The 16,826-nt window shown below is 45.7% G+C and overlaps 1 protein-coding gene across 4 annotated transcripts in view, besides 3 other annotated features; it reads left to right on the forward strand.

Moving 5' to 3' along the window:
• Window positions 1-12,025, forward strand: part of CHST11 (carbohydrate sulfotransferase 11) — a 305,067-nt gene extending 293,042 nt beyond the window's left edge. For all 4 annotated transcript variants that reach the window (NM_018413.6, XM_047428914.1, NM_001173982.2 and 1 more), the window contains one exon: window positions 6,960-12,025. In NM_018413.6, coding sequence (NP_060883.1) covers window positions 6,960-7,814 — 855 coding nt within the window. In that variant the 3' untranslated portion in view covers window positions 7,815-12,025. The remainder of the gene's footprint in view (window positions 1-6,959) is intronic.
• Window positions 1,073-1,650: an enhancer, noted in NCBI's record as "OCT4-NANOG hESC enhancer chr12:105144840-105145417 (GRCh37/hg19 assembly coordinates)". NCBI's record gives its function as "activates a minimal SCP1, AML or CMV promoter by ChIP-STARR-seq in primed H9 embryonic stem cells {active_cell/tissue: H9 hESC(primed)}" and the evidence as "EXISTENCE:reporter gene assay evidence [ECO:0000049][PMID:30033119]".
• Window positions 1,640-1,689: an enhancer, noted in NCBI's record as "active region_6935". NCBI's record gives its function as "activates an Ori minimal core promoter by ATAC-STARR-seq in GM12878 lymphoblastoid cells {active_cell/tissue: GM12878}" and the evidence as "EXISTENCE:reporter gene assay evidence [ECO:0000049][PMID:35858748]".
• Window positions 13,272-13,421: an enhancer, noted in NCBI's record as "active region_6936". NCBI's record gives its function as "activates an Ori minimal core promoter by ATAC-STARR-seq in GM12878 lymphoblastoid cells {active_cell/tissue: GM12878}" and the evidence as "EXISTENCE:reporter gene assay evidence [ECO:0000049][PMID:35858748]".

A 16,826-nucleotide genomic window follows, 5' to 3' on the forward strand; every position in this document is an offset into this window, starting at 1 on the left:
TTATCCATTTCTGGATCATCAGGTCTGCCCCGGATAACCTAGTTCTGCCATATGAAGTCGTGGTGCCTGTGTTCATTGATGTTCTTGGTGGTTCCGTGTAGCTCCATTTTTATTGTCTTGGGCTAATTGGAAATGAGCAGAAAAGGAAAATATATACATGATGAGCTTTTACCAAGTAAAGGTCAAATGAGATTCCAGCGTGCCGAGTTTCACAGTAACTAGGAATGAGGAAGTGGTAAGGAAACCGAGTCCTCATGCAGCACAGAAAGGGAAGCTCTACTCCAAACACCCTGACCCACAGCAGTGAGCAAGCATCTGCGTGGTTTCAGGCAGGGCTTTAGTTCCAGTAAAACATCACCCCTCATGTTAATGTTGTGCATTTGAATGTTTATGTTTGTTTTGAACTTGTAGTTGTGTACCTGGTTTTATATTTCTGCACTTTTTTTTTTTTTTTTTTTTTTTTTTTTGTTGAGACTGAGTCTCGCTCTGTCACCCAGGCCGGAGTGCAATGGTGCAATCTTGGCTCACTGCAACCTCTGCCTCCCGGGTTCAAGTGATTTTCCCCTGCCTCAGCCTCCCCAGTAGCTGGGAGTACAGGTGTCTGCCACCATGCCCGGCTAATTTTTGCATTTTTAGTAGAGACAGGGTTTCACCATGTTGGCCAGGCTGGTCTCGAACTCCTGACCTCAGGTGATCCACTCGCCTCAGCCTCCCTAAATGTTGGGATTACAGATGTGAGCCACCGTGCCTGGCTTGTGCACATTTTAGTACCATTTTATTTTTAATAATTTAAATCAACACTAGTCTGAAAATATTTTTATTTTTTGAGACAAGGTGCTTACTGTCACCTGAAATTATTTTAAAATTAAAAAATTATAAAAACCAATTAAAATGTATTTTTAAAAACATTAATAGTAGAGGCCCAGGTGAATTTCTCTCTTGGATTTGAGAAGCATTCTCTTGACCCCTACCCCAGAGTCTTCCTGAGGGGAAACTGTGTGTGCCTTGTTGTGGCAGGTGCACCATTTGCCCCTTAAACTGCTGTGGAGAAGAAGGAAATGGAGGGGAAAGAAACCTCAAATACCAGGTTTAAAAGCCCCACTGAGTTATTTTCCGCCTCTGCAACTGAATGTAAAATGATATGCTGGTGTCATTTCCATTTTTCCTGCCTTTGTGGTCCTGAATGCAGTATTAACTGGCATGCTACCTCCCTGGGGATTCAGGTGGCCAGAAAATTGTCTCCAGCTCAAAAGAGGTTGGGAGGGTGATGAGGGGGAGATCCCCTTATTTCTCTGCTCATCTTAGTAACTTATTGCCTTCAGAATTGTCCTTAGTGATTCAAATGGCAGAATTGATGGGCCCTGTTTCCTTCCTAGTCCTTTCATTTCCTTTAAACACAGGTTTGGTTTTGTTTAATGGCATTGTTCAATAGCCCAAGAGGCCCATGAATGCTTCTCTTAGGGTGATGAATACATCGGCTAAGAAGTCATGAATTGCAAAGGTCAGAGTTTTCCTATTCAAAATAATTATTAATTGAATCCAGTGACCTAGGGCTGACCTGCAACAAAATTACAGAGCTGGTGAAATTTGTCTTTGAGATTCCTATCCAGGCGTTCTTTTTCAGATTTCTTTTTTCTTCTTTGATAAAAGAATGCCTACGTATTAACTACCTGTTTTGTGCCATACCTTGTCCAAATCCTGTACTAGAGTTGATCTTATTTACTGAATGCTGAAATGTACCTTATTTGCTGTAGTCACCACCCCTGCGGGGTAGGTGGTACTATCCCCATTTTGCAAATAGAGGAACTGAGACTCAGAAGGGTAAGGCTCTTGCCCAGGATCAAGCCCAGACCTTCTTATTTCAAATCTTATCTTCACTGTACTTTACAAGTACCCTAATACACTGTCCTTATTCTTCTATATAAAATAGCCTCTTATATGATGTTATCTTCTCTTTAAACTTATAGTTTAGTACCAACTTGCTCAAAGTTATCACTTGAATGATTGACCTCCTCTTTTAGGTTCCTGAGGCCATCATAACAAATTACCACAAACTGAGTGGCTTAAAACTAAGGAAATGTATTCTCTCACAGTCCTGGAAGCCAGAAGTCTGAAATCAAGCTGTTGGCAGGGCATGCTCTCTCTGAAGGCTCCAGAGGAATGGATCCTTCCTTGCCTCTTCCCAGCTGCTGGTGGTGGCCGGCAGTCCTTGGCATTTTTTGGCCTGGAGACACATCATTGCAGTCTCCGACTCTGTCCTCACGTGGCATTCTCCCTGCGTGTCTCTGTGTCTCTGCTTTCTCTTCTTATAAGGACACCACCCATTGGGTCAGGGCCCACCCTAATCCAGTATCATCTCATCTTAACTAATTACACCTGCAAAAACCCTATTTCCATATCAAATCACATTCTGAGGTTCTGGGTGGACATGAATTTGGGAGGGACATTATTTGTCACAGTACAGCTCTATGAAAGAACTTTATGATAATCAACAAACAATTGGGAAATTTATTTACTTATTTATTTATTTATTTATTTATTTATTTATGTATTTTTGAGACAGAGTCTCACTCTGTCGCCCAGGCTGGAGTGCAGTGCCGCGATCGCGGCTCATTGCAACCTCCGCCTCCTGAGTTCTAGCAATTCTCCTGCCTCAGCCTCCCGAGTAGCTGGGATCACAGGCACCCGCCACCACGCCCAGCTAATTTTTTGTATTTTTAGTACAAATGGGGTTTCGCCATGTTGGCCAGGGTGGTCTCACACTCCTGACCTCAAGTAATTAGCCCGCTGCTGCCTCCCAAAGTGCTGGGATTACAGGCCTGAGCCACCACGCCTGGCCTAGAAATTTCTTTAACTAGAGGGGTCTTCCTGCTTACAGATCAAGTATCCCTACAGAGATTATTAAGCCATTCATTCATTCATTCACTCAACCAACACTTATGGAGCATCTCCTATGGGGCTGGCACTTTTGCAAGCACCGGGGATATCGCTATGGAAAGACAAAGTTCCTGCTCTGTGGTACCTCTATTTGATAAGGCAGACACTTCATGCCAGAATGGTGTGACAAGCATAGATCTGAGTCACACACTCTGGCTCAAGTCACAGTTCTGCTTCTCTTAGAAGGAGGCACCTTGGGCAGTCACTTTGCCTGTCTCAGCCTGTTTCCTCGTTGACAGAAGGCAATGCCGAGACCACCACAGCTTTACAAATGTTGGGAGAATCTCCTCAAGGTAGTGAACAAGGAGTGCTCCACAAATCGTTTTCCACGTTCTCATTCATGTGTTGGTGCGTCTGACGGATCCTCAGCTGTAAAATGGAGATCCTAATAATCTCCGTTATTACTGATTGCATTAAAGAAGTTAGTCAGTGTGAAGCATGAAGAGCATTACCTGGCTCACAACGAGCACTCACCCAGTCAGTGTTAGGTGTCATCATCATCCTGATATATACTGTGCAGGAGGGAAAATTAGAAAATTCTGCAGCTTGCTTTTGATATTTCTTGGCATATGCCTAGTGTCACTTATACTTGGAGAACTAAAAAATAGCATCACTGGAGATTTGGATTGATGGGGACCCATGACCACTGGGCATTGAGCCTTTGTGGCAAAATCTCAGCAAGACAAAACAATACCCAGGCACTAAGGAAGAATATTCTGGAAGATTCTCTGTGGGACCCAGAAAAGAATACATGGCCACCAGTTGGCTACCCTGGAAGAAACTGGGCTCTACCCAACATTAAAGGTGGCCAAGACCCCGGCAGTCAGCTAATCTAACTGCCTCTTTCTACAGGCAAGGCAGGGGCAGCCTAGAGAGGGAGGAAAGGAAGAAATAATACTGATTGCGTATCTACTGTGTTCAGGCCACGGAGTACACACCTTATAGTCCTCACACCAGCCTAACAAGGCATCGGAGTGAGGATCTCCTTTGCATAGGCAAGGAAACAAAGGCCAAGAAAGGCCCAGGCCCCATATTTGGGTCATAATAACATGCAAACTGGATCCGTGGTTCAGTAGCCCAGGCCTCTTTGCACATATAGATTATTGCTCTGCCCTTTATAGTGGGGATAAATTTGTTGAGTGGTGGCATTTGGTCTGTGAATAACCAGAGGTCGGTAATTTGCCAGTTATTTCCAAGCTGGGAAACTCCAGGCCAAGCTGGTTTTACCAAGTGGAACCCGAAAATATATATATGGTGCCCTTGCTTCTCTGGAATCTGGCTGAGGGTCTCAGCATCGTATCCCGGCTAGGACCCTCAGCTCTCCTGTTTTTCAGCTCTCCTGTTGCAGTTATTTATTGCTGGGCAACAAATCACCCCAAAACTTAGTGGCTTAACACAGCACTGATATGTCACCTGCCACAGCTCTGTGGGTAGGTAATCGGGCAGGTCTGCTGGTCTCACCTGGGATCATTCACATCACTGTGGTCCGTGGATGGCTGGCAGTTGGTGCTGGTCTGCAGTGCCCCAGTCTTCATCCTCCAGGAGGCTGGACAGGTCTTTCCATAGCATGACTGTCTCAGGGCAGCGTTCCAACAGCGTGAAGGCTAGGAACTGCAGGGCTTCCTAATAGGCTTCAGAACGTGTTCATCGTTGCTTCTACCTCATTCTACTCATCAGAGCAAGTCACAGCCAGCCCCCATTCAAAGAACTGGAGAAATAGAGTCTCTGCTTCTTGATGGGAGGAGTGTCAGTGTCAGACTGCAAAGGGGAATGCACATCGGGGGATACTAGCAACTCTTTCCAGATTTCCACCAGTTATTTGTGAGGCTAAAGCAGTGAGAGAATCACCATACTCTTCACACATAGACCTTGCAAAGTGTTGGTACTCTGTCTTGGTTTGCTTCCTCCCTTGGGTATAAAAATTTTTAGTGGCGATGGCATGTTATAGTTCAGCGTGTTGCTGGGAAGATTAAACATAATGTATTTAAATCACCTGTGAAGGTGCCTCCTACAGAGTAGCTCCTTAGTCATACTGTCTGCTGTTGTCATGGTGACCATCACCATCCTTTGTCCTGGGGACCATGAGAGGAGATGGACATGGAGCTTAATGCAGGGTGCAATGGCTTCTCCCTGGTGGCTACCATGATGCCCCTCAGTTCCCCAGCAAACTCATCAGTGGCCCTACTTTAGGCCCATCCCAATGGCCCTGTGCACCTTTTAGTAAAAATTGTGCAGATTGAGGTTCAAAGTTGGAGGAGCAGGGGCAGATACTTGGGTTGCACTCAAGTCCTAGGCTCTACTGACTTGGCTGTCCAGGTGACTGGAGGATTTCACGGATACAGCTGCATTCTCAGGACTCAAAGCCACCCACAGTCTGGCCTGGAGGAGGCGGTGACTCTGGGGCTCCGAGTCCCTGTGAAGTGAGTGGCCACAGGAGTTGAGAAAACCAAGAATGAACTAGACAGGAGGGTTGTGCTATGAAGCACACTCAGTGTTGTGGGTGTTCAGTGGAGGGAATGGTTATTCCACTTGTGTGGCAGGGGAGTGTGTGGGGCCATGAAGAATTGTCAAGTTTGGGGCCAGGCACAGTGGCTCACCCCTGCAGTCTCAGCACTTTGGGAGACTGAGGCTGGCCAATCACCTGAGGTCAGGAGTTTGAGACCAGCCTGACCAACGTAGTGAAACCCCGTCTCTACTAAAAATACAAAAATCAGCAGGGCATGGTGATGCGTGCCTGTAATCCCAGCTACTCGGGGGGCTGAGGCAGGAGAATTGCTTGAACTCTGGAGGCGGAGGTTGCAGTGAGCTGAGATCGCGCCACTGCATTCCAGCCTGGGCAACAGAGTAAGACTCTGGAAAAAAAAAGAAAAGAAAAGAATTGTCAAGTTTATACCAGCAGAGATTGAGAGGGGAGAATCCCAGATGGGCCCAGCCTAAGGAACGCTTGCGGCAAAGAGGAAAGAGTGAATCATTGGTTTCTCGGGACCCCCCCCTCCGGTTATGAAAGGGTGAGGAGTAGGAATCAGGCTGGAAAAGTAGGTTGGCATTGGGCTATGGAGAACCCCAAAAGGCCAGTGTATGAATGGGGGCTTGGTTCCTGGGGCAAGGAGGCAACCAAGACACCACCTCATCTGTAGCTCCAGAGCAACTATTCCATAGCCCTGTGCCCCCAGTTTCTCTGTAACTTTAATCACAATTAATATTATTCCATTTATATAAAAGAAGGACCATACTGAACTTTCATGAGTGGTGGTGGAGGTAAGGCAGGAATCCGACAGTAGGGTGCCACCACTCCGTGAAGGTCTCTGAGCCTCTGGGTGCTGGAGACGCAGGTGGTGGCAGAGCAGGCAGAGTGCCCTCCTGTTTCCTGTTCTGGGTAGACTGTGAGTACTGGTTTGGACTGGGAGTGAATGGCCTTTGGGGAGAAACTTTTGCTCTTAGAATTCAGAGGAACACACACATCTTCCCAAGCATTTCCCTTTGCCCTCTACTGAGGCTGACAGCTCTCTGCCCTGGCACCTCCTAGACTATGAGTGATTTAGGTTATGTCTCTTTGCAGTGCTGAGCAGAGCACTTTATACATCATGAGGTCTGGATCCATGTGGGGTGTGTGTGTGTGTGTGTGTGTGTGTGTGTTTAGAGACAGGGTCTTGCTCTGTCACCCAAGCTAGAGCACAGTGGCACAGTCATACCTCAAGGTAACCTTGAACTCTGGGGCTTAAGTGATTCTCCTGCTTCAGCCTCCCAAGTAGCTGGGATGTCAGGTGTGCGCCACCATGCCTTCCTAATTTTTTAGTTTTTTTAGAGATGAGGTCTCACTATGTTGCCAAGGCTGGTCTTGAACTTGTGGCCTCAAGCGATCCTCCTGCCTCAGCTTCCCAGAGTGCTGGGATTAAAGGCATGAGCCACTGCACCCAGCTTAGATATGTGTTTGAACGGGTGGATTTATGATCTACTTGTAGCCAAGTGGAAATGTTTCAGGCAAGTACTGAGTTCTTATTCGTCTTGTGTCTCCTCTGCAGCTGGAGCTCTCAAACACTGCTGTCCTGCACCAGATGCGGCGGGACCAGGTGACAGACACGTGCCGAGCCAACAGCGCCACAAGCCGTAAGCGGAGGGTGCTGACCCCCAACGACCTGAAGCACTTGGTGGTGGATGAGGACCACGAGCTCATCTACTGCTACGTGCCCAAGGTGGCCTGCACCAACTGGAAGCGGCTCATGATGGTCCTGACCGGGCGGGGGAAGTACAGCGACCCCATGGAGATCCCGGCCAACGAGGCACACGTCTCCGCCAACCTGAAGACCCTGAACCAGTACAGCATCCCAGAAATCAACCACCGCTTGAAAAGCTACATGAAGTTCCTGTTTGTCCGGGAGCCCTTCGAGAGGCTAGTGTCCGCCTACCGCAACAAGTTCACCCAGAAGTACAACATCTCCTTCCACAAGCGGTACGGCACCAAGATCATCAAACGCCAGCGGAAGAACGCCACCCAGGAGGCCCTGCGCAAAGGGGACGATGTCAAATTCGAGGAGTTTGTGGCCTATCTCATCGACCCACACACCCAGCGGGAGGAGCCTTTCAACGAACACTGGCAAACCGTCTACTCACTCTGCCATCCCTGCCACATCCACTATGACCTCGTGGGCAAGTACGAGACACTGGAAGAGGATTCTAATTACGTCCTGCAGCTGGCAGGAGTGGGCAGCTACCTGAAGTTCCCCACCTATGCAAAGTCTACGAGAACTACTGATGAAATGACCACAGAATTCTTCCAGAACATCAGCTCAGAGCACCAAACGCAGCTGTACGAAGTCTACAAACTCGATTTTTTAATGTTCAATTACTCAGTGCCAAGCTACCTGAAATTGGAATAAAGGGGGTGGGGAGAGGGAGAGAATCATGCTTTTTAATTTAAGATTTTTATTTGTCAAAAGAATTATATGGATATTGGGTTATTTTGTAAATTAATATTTCTTTGGGGATGATGCTGCGAGCAGCATAGTGAGAATTATTTAAAATCCTTCGTAGGGAAGGACAGCTGTCTTTGCAGGGGAAATAGGATGGGTCGTCCTTGTCTGTAGAAGTGAATACTGCAACACTGTCTCAAAGGTTTCTTGTGTTCTGGTGAATTCCATGAATTGTGCATTCCATAAATTCTAATTAATATTATTTATAGTTATTTAAACATGGTCTCATTATTTCTTTTTGTGGCAGCAAAATTCTAACATCTTTCCAGAAGAAATCTATGATTCCTGCTTTGCTTGCTACAGCTCATTTGGGGGCATGAATGTTCTCCTTACTAACCTCTCATGGAGTCATGTGATAACAGCCATTGTCATGTGTATGGATGCCACCATTCTTGAATTTCTGCTAGAAATAAGTAGGTTGCTATTGCACTTAGAGTCATCTTTGCAAGGGACTCATTCCAAACCAATTCCAATCGACCTGAAAGTCCCTTGCACTAAAGAAATGTGATTTTTTTTTAACCCAAGGAGAAAGTTGGTTGTAACAATTTTTCACCAGAATTAGCAATCTGATAGAATAGGCTTTTTTAACAGGAATTTTAAACTGGCGGTGCCAGTTGCAGTGAAGGTGAAGTGGCTATTGCTTTATATTCGACAAATATTTATTGAGCATCTACTATATACTAGGCCCTGAAGATAGAGCGTTGAACAAACCCAATAGTCTTGGCCCTCAAAAAGCTTTATGTGACATAGAGCATCCAGCTCGACAATTAGCAAACCCCTGATATTATTCATGGACTTGACATGAGGTTTGGACTATTCATGAGCAACAGCAGAAGGTCCATGACCCCTACAAATTTACATTTTTCTATGGCCCATATTTGAAAACCTCACATTCGGAGCAGGCCACTTTATATTCGTGAGTGATCCCAAGCTCACTGACCAACAGAAAAGATGCTAAAAAAATGTGTCCTATCATGTGCCTGCTCCAACTGATGGGTAATGTCTGCCTTTAAGCCCCAGAATGGATTCTCCAGGCACAGTGTGGAAGAGTGCTGTGGTTGATTAGCAATGTCTGCCTTGGGTGAGGAAAGGGGAACACTCCTCAAGTGCCTCCTACTGTCATCTCCATTCAGCCTAGCACCACATCCCCATGTAGAAGTGTTGTCTTCTACTGCTTGCCACGTACAAGTGTGAAATGCCAAGGTGAGACTCGTACACTTGGGGATTTGCAATGGTTTTTACCCCTCATGAAGGTCAGAGGTGGACTATTTGTACACATACACACATGCACACCCTCTCACGTCCTCCAGAGGCTGAAAGACTATCAGCATCTTGGTAACTGCCATGCATGAGCAGCAAGGACAGCCTTCCATAATCCATGCCCCATTTCCTCTGGAAGCCTGGAAACTTTTCATTTCCTGTTCCTTGCTAATTAACATCTAAACATGCTTCTCATTTCCAGCCATTGCTGATGCTTCTCAGTTGAAGTTTGAGCCACATCCCTCTTACAGCTAGTGAATGAGTTGGTAGCAGCTACTGTATATAATAATAATAATAGTTTTAATAATAGGGGAGGGTGGGATGGGGTGTGGGTAAGTTTTGCCTTTTGTTTTGTTTTTGATGCCGTATATAGTGAAGGGGTGAGGATATTCTAAACAAACAAAAATTGAATAATTTATTCACAGAAACTATTAAGATTGTATTGTAAAGCTCACAGCAAGCTCAGTGGGCAGCAGCTGCAACATCTCACCGGGGAAATTATTTTATTTAACGTGAGTGAGATGTGGGCCGGAGAAGGTAGCTGAAGCTATTTATAAAACGTTGTGTACCTTCTTCCGAGCTCTCTCCCCTTTGTGAAGGGCGCAGCAACTATACCCTTGATGGATGGAGATTTACGCAATGTGTTTTACTGGGTAGAGTGACAGACCTTGGCTGTCCCTGGAATTGAGAATCTGGACCTTATTTCCAGGCAGAGAACACTGTCCTCAGAAATGGGACTTCTGATAATGAAACAGGTTGTCCAACATTTTCTAATACGCATTCTACAGAACACAGGTTCCAGGAGGCATCAGGTTGGTGTGATGCAGACTAAGGGTTTTGTGGTCAAATATCCTTAAGAAACAAAGTTAAGTCAGTTTCCTTTCTGCAAGGACTTTTCAGCCTTCAATGTGTGCTGTGCATGGTGAATCCCCAAAAATAATCCTTGAGTCTGTAGCATTTCCTGAACTTACATGACCAGGATACTCTATTTTGCAGATCACCCCACAGAGCTAGGGTTCCACCGAGTATACTTTGCTTAGGTTGACTTAGCATATCTGAGGTCTTCAAGGATAAAAACTGCCACCCCAACACCCTTCCATTAAAAAAAAAATACAAAATAGCACCACAGTCTCCATCTGGTTTATAGCAACAGAGGTACTTTATTTAATGAAGCAATGGTTCTAATCCTGGATACTGCCACGGACTACAATTCTATCCCTCCCAGAGGGAGTGGAGGAAGTCTTGGGTGGTGTGGACAGAAGGAAGAGAGGAGAGGGTGAGTGGGGTATAGGGCCCAGGGTGGCTCCCTACTCCTCAGGCTCAAAAGGATGCTCAGTGGGAACAGATGATCTCTTGATGAGTGCTTCTTCAGTTTCATAGTTTGGAATCGTTCACTGTGTGCTTTTTGGGGGGTTTTCAATGGAAATTCACGTTGCTTTGCATTTCTGTGTCCGTCTTTGGTCAGTTGTGCAAGCCTGCTCACTGTCATGTGAAGATGGCCTTTCATCTGGCTTCTCTCTCTTAAGTGAGAAAGATTGTCCTTCAGGGGACATGACATCAATAGGTTTCTGGAATGAGGGACTCTTTCTCCCCGTGTTTTGCTTTGTGTTCACATTTTCTTTTCTAATGGCATTGAAACTTTAAAAAAAATGGATTCAACTGTTTTTGCAGAATGTAGAAAGTATTCTGTGTCCTTGGTTAAAGAAATCCACTTGTGAAGTGTGCCTGGAAAATGAAAGTTTGTGTTTTTTAAAGAGGAATATTTGAAACTGCTTTCTATGCATGCTTAGCTGGAGAAAAGTACAGGCAGGCGTCCCATCTCCCAGCCACTTCTCAAAGGTGCTGCTGTGTTTTAAAGACCAGGTACAGCCAGGGCAGTATTTGCAAGGACATTCCTGCTTACTTTATCCCTTTGGTTGGAAAGCTCTAGATGATTCCCGCAGCTCCTCCAGACCCCGCCTCCCTGCCCTCCCCAGCTGGTCTGGGAAGAGGTGGTCTGCTGACCTGTGGTATCTCAGAGGGGACGTTCCTCCTCCTCCCTGTGCACCAGGTGGGCTGCACCCTCCTGCCTATTCAGGATGTGGATGCCACAGGAGAGCAGCAGGCAGTGGAAACTTCAGTTGCACTGGTTCTCCTGGTGGCAAAGGCATGAAGCACAGGGGTCGATTAATCCAGGCTACTAGAAAGCTCCAGAGCAAAGTGTGCGGGTCCCACAAATGCTTGGCTGGTGGGGTCTGGATCAGTGCTGAGATAGAGTTGGCAGAAGAAGCAGAGGCACTCTGCTTGCTTTCCTAGCCAGTCCTCCCCTACACACACACACACACACACACACACACACACACACAATCTCAGCTGCGCCATTCTGTGCAATCCCAGTGACCAAATCCCTTCCTTGCCCACCTCTATGTCAGCAGGACTGACCACATCACTCCCCCGAGTTCCCACCACCAGCATTTCCTCCAACCTTTTTCCATCACAACCAGTTAGAACCCTACAGGCAACAAGGCCTTCTAGAATCCGCTTAACCCTTGGCTGATAACAGGCAAATTTCAGTCTGCTACACTTTGTTAGGTCCAGAAGGAGCTGCCCATACTACTTTCTTATGAGCATGCTCAGTATGGCATATGGACATGTAATGTCACATCTTTGTGGAGTGTGATTTTCTTTTTTCACATATTTGTATGCAGTAGAGAGCCTGTTGTAGAAAACGCTCCCTGTATCTTGCTGTACTGTTAAAGAAAGCTGAATTCCACATTGCCAACAAAAGCGTGAAAATGTTCATGAACCTTCCTCCAGGAAAAGCCATTCAAGCCTGATTATTTTTCTAAGTAACTTCAATTAAATTGAAGAAAAAAGAAGCTGCTTTCTGTGTATGGTTTGCTCATGGCTCATTAACAAAAGACTGTAGGGGTGGGGTGGGCCGTGGACCTTAGCATGCGGGGGGCCCTGCTCATGTGTATCAAAGGATGGAGATGCAGGCTTCGTTGGAAGACTCAGCCCTGGTAAAAACCGCCATAGATCCAAATTCTTTCTGTTCATCGGGTGAATGGAAGCTTTTCTTCTTTCCATTTTTTCTATAAAGTCTTTGTAGACTAATGCATTAGAAGGTGCACTGTGATCACACAGTTCCACCACTCGTGTGAAAAGGCATGAAGGCTGTCAGTAAATGGCTTTGGTGGCAGAGCCAGTATTCAAGCCCAGGTTGATGTGCCTTCAGAACTCCATGTTTTTGGCACTGAATGACATGCCTCTCTAAATGGCCATCCATGGTGCCACTGCTAGGAAGTTGCAAGCCTGCACTTCAAGTCCCAGTTTTTCAATTCCAAATCCAATCCTGTTCTGATTCCCCACATAGCTTATTTCGGCTCTATGGATGAGCATCTTTTAGCTTTTTTTTTTTTTTTTTTTTGGAAACGGAGTCACACTCTGTTGCCAGGCGGGAGTGCAGTGGTGAGATCTCGGCTCACTGCAACCTCCACCTCCTGGGTTCAAGTGATTCTCCTCCCTCAGCCCCAGAGTAGCTGGGACTACAGGTGTGCACCACCACACCCAGCTAATTTTTGTATTTTTAGTAAAGATGGGGTTTCACCATGTTGGCCAGGATGGTCTCGATCCCTCGACCTTGTTATCCACCCGCCCCAGCCTCCCAAAGTGCTGGGATTACAGGCATGAGCCACCGTGCCTGGCTGCATCTTTTAGCTTTATTGGTAAAAATGATTTCTGTATATTTTTCCAAAGAAGAAATTATACTCAATGTTGTTTCTGTTTTTCATTGTATTCTAATTTAATTTTCTTTTAAGAGACAAGGTCTCACTCTGTCACCCAGGCTGGAGTGCAGTGGCACGATCGTAACTCACTGCAGCCTTGACCTGGGTGCAAGCGATCTCCCGGCACAGCCTCCAAAATACCCAAGGATTATAGGCGTGTGCCACCATGCCCGGCTAACCAATTTCTTTAAACATAACATCTAAACATTTTTAACATTACAATATTGGGTGAGAAAATAGATCCCGTTTTCAACCATGCTAGATATGGTTTCTAATCACCAGCTGGCTTTCCCCACTGGTAGCTGGTGCCCACCCATGGGCATGATATCCAAAAAGACCAGGAACCATTGGCTAAGAATACATTTGGCCAAGAATACATTGCTAGTGTCATCACTGTCCTTGCTATGGTCCCATCTGGTTGGGAAATGCCCAGACCACAGAGCTTAGTCATCTTAGATTCATAGAAAACATACATCCTTTTTCATCAGTGAATGGATGTGACTTTGCGATAGCCTGTCTCTGTCTCATTTGGAACATTGTAAATGTCAGTGGGAAGCAAAGCTAGACGAGGTCATCTCTAGCCTGTTTGCTCCCCTTGGAGTGACACTGACATGCTTTCTTGCCAGCTAATCGGGAGGTGTTTCTGATGGTGCCCCAGGTGCCCTATGTCTGACCTGCAGAAGCTGCAGAACCTGAGGAGCCTGTGGCCCAGAACATTGCCTGGGCCAGGTCAGGGTAAGGTAATTATTGATCCCCCAAGTGGACAAAAATAGGATGAGGCAGAATCAGTAGTGTAAGATGTAAAGTACTCTTTCTCGGGAAGAGCTCCCTTTTCTCAAGTTACGTCTTTCCTACATTTTTGGTATTAGAATATCTTTTTTTGTTTCCTTTTTTTTGTTTGTTTGGGTTTTTTTTTTTTTTTTTTTTTTTGAAACGGAGTCCCGCTCTGTCGTCCTGTCATCAGGCTGGAGTGCAGTGGCATGATCTTGGCTCACTGCAACCTCCACCTCCCAGGTTCAAGCGATCCTCCTGCCTCAGCCTCCCAAGTAGCTGGGACTACAGGCACCCGCCACCATACCCAGCTAATTTTTGTATTTTTAGTAGAGACAGGGTTTCACCATGTTGGCCAGGATGGTCTCGATCTCTTGACCTTGTGATCCGCCTGCCTCGGCCTCCCAAAGTGCTGGGATTACAGGTGTGAGCCACCACGTCCAGCCTCTTTTACAATAATAGATGTTAATTGATACTAGGACATAAAATATTGGTAACTTAGTGTCAGCCCCCAATGTCATCTTAAACATTTTCTGAAAAAGTCATGATATCCAAAAAGACCAGGAACCACTGGTCAAGAATACATCTGAGGCACGAAGTGATGGGAGAGAAACCTCAGGGCTTGGTGGACAGAACTCTGTGGAAATCCCTTCTGAAGCACAGTCCTGAGTGCCCCACAGCTGGACACCACAATGTGGCCAGTGGCTATGGCCTCTGGGTTCTGGGGTGACTTACAAGAAGCTGAACACTGGGCTAGCTACATTCACTGTAGATAAAGTTTATCAGACATCTTGGGTCTGGGGTGATGAATATGTCTGGTGTAATAGGAAAAAGGAACATTCTAGCAAGGCTGATATGAGAAAAACAACCACCTTTTCCCTATTTCACAATCTTCACCAGCACCCGCCTCTTCCCCAAATTGTAAGAACCCACAGGTGGAGAAAACAGCCAGAGGTTGTGAGTGGAGGCAGCCTGCTGGTTCCAAATGCGTTGCTGGCTGAGAACCATTCCCAAACAAACTCCCGTAGTCACTTCCTCTTTGAAATAGGGAAAACAATAATATCTGGATTGTGCCACGACTGAAAACCCTTTCCTAGCTGCAGTTCATCCACCAAGGAGCTGTCTGCAACCTACAGGTAATTACTTCCTATGCAGGGAGGGGACTTACATTTCCTCATCTGCGGAACAAAAGAATTGAGCTATATCTGTGGTTTTCAATGCGGTTTTTAAAAATGAGCCTCTTAAAAATTTTTGCATTCTGAACACTCATATGTAAAACAGATGAGGCAGAGATGCTGTGATTGAATGGTTTGAGGCCCAGCTCTGCCTTTTTCCCATAAAGTCCCTGTAAACCATCACGGGCCATAGGGTTCTAAGGAAAACAGTTTGAGAAGCAGTAAGTTACGTGACCTCTGAGCCTTTCCTGTTTGACTAATGATCTACCTGAATCCTCCTCTGTGGCTTCTGCTGCTTTATGCCTAAGAGATTGACCAGTTAGATGGTACCACGCAGGTAAAAACTGCTTTGAGAAGGGAGTTAAGGGGATGGCGTTAGACAGAGATTAAGATGCAACAATAGAAATTATTTAAAAAAAAAAAACGTAAAAGCTGATGCAGCAAAGAAATAGCTCATAGCTAGATTCAAGATGGGAACCGAAATTTACACTCCTCTTTCCAAATGCTCTACCATGGAAACACAGGCTCCACCTTTGTACAAAACCCTATTAATTTGAAATACAAGAGACTGGAATGAAAAACAGTCTCTGTATTAATCTGCTTTTTATTTTTCCATGGTTTTGTTTTGTTTTTCTTTTTTGTTTCGTTTTGTTTTTTTGAGATGGAGTCTCACTCTATCACCCAGGCTGGAGTGCAGTGGCGCAATCTTGGCTCACTGCAAGCTCCACCTCTCAGGTTCCCGCCATTCTCCTGCCTCAGCCTCCCGAGTAGCTGGGACTACAGGTGCCTGCCACCATGCCTGGCTAATTTTTCTTTTTTTTTTTTTTAGTAGAGACGGGGTTTCACCATGTTAGCCAGGATAGTCTCGATCTCCTGACCTCGTGATCCTCCCGCCTTGGCCTCCCAAAGTGCTGGCATTATAGGCATGAGCCACCACACCCGGCTCCAAGTTTGTTTTTAAAAATAATAGAGCATCTCATTATGGGAGAAGAGTAAGGGCTTTGGATTTCACGTTGGTTTGGACAAGCCAGCAGCAGCTAGAGAAGATTATTTTGTGGCTAGGACCAGCCTTGGGCTTTATCTGATAGATCAAGCCAGAAACAACTTTGTGCCCGGAACCAAACTGGCAAAAGGATAGAGAAAAAAAATGCCTAAAGAAGAGATGAAGGAAGAAGGAACTCTGACTATAGAAATTATACCTTTATGCTGAGCTTCTTTGCACAGTGAACACAAACTCAACTGTGGGTGCCTTGGAAATGTTTGCTTTTAATGTGCTCTTTTCCAAATTCTATCTTTTCATAGGGAAAGCTGACCATAAAGGTAGCTAACTTTTATTAACTATTAGTTTATTATATGCCACACAGTGTGTTACATGCTTTCAATTTAATCCTCACAAACAACAAACAAGGTAGATACTGGGACCCTTTTTACAGATTGATATGGTTTGGCTGTGTCCCCACCCAAATATCATCTTGAATTGTAGCTCCCATAATTCCCACATGTTGTGGGAGGGACCTGGTGGGAGATCACTGAATCACGGGGGCAGTTTCCCACATACCGTTCTCATGTTAGTGAATAAGTCTCACGAGATCTGATGGTTTTTAGGAAGTTTCCCCTTTCACATGGCTCTCATTCTCTCTTGCCTGCCACCATGTAAGATGTCCCTTTGCCCATAATTGTGAGGCCTCCCCAGCCATGTAGAACTGGGTCCATCAAACCTCTTTCCTTTATAAATTACCCAGTCTTGGGTATGTCTTTATTAGCAGCATGAGAATGGACTAATATACACATAAAGATGCAGAAAATTAGAATAAATAACTTGCCTCAAGTTACCCAGAATTCAGATCCAGGTCTGGTTGACTCTCCAGCCCACTAAAATTGGGCGTTATTGGTGGACCAAGAGTGGAGGAGGCCAGAAGTCTAAACCTGGAAGCCAATGGTGCTAC

This window comes from Homo sapiens, chromosome 12 (assembly GCF_000001405.40).
Source record: "Homo sapiens chromosome 12, GRCh38.p14 Primary Assembly".
NCBI lineage: Eukaryota > Metazoa > Chordata > Mammalia > Primates > Hominidae > Homo > Homo sapiens.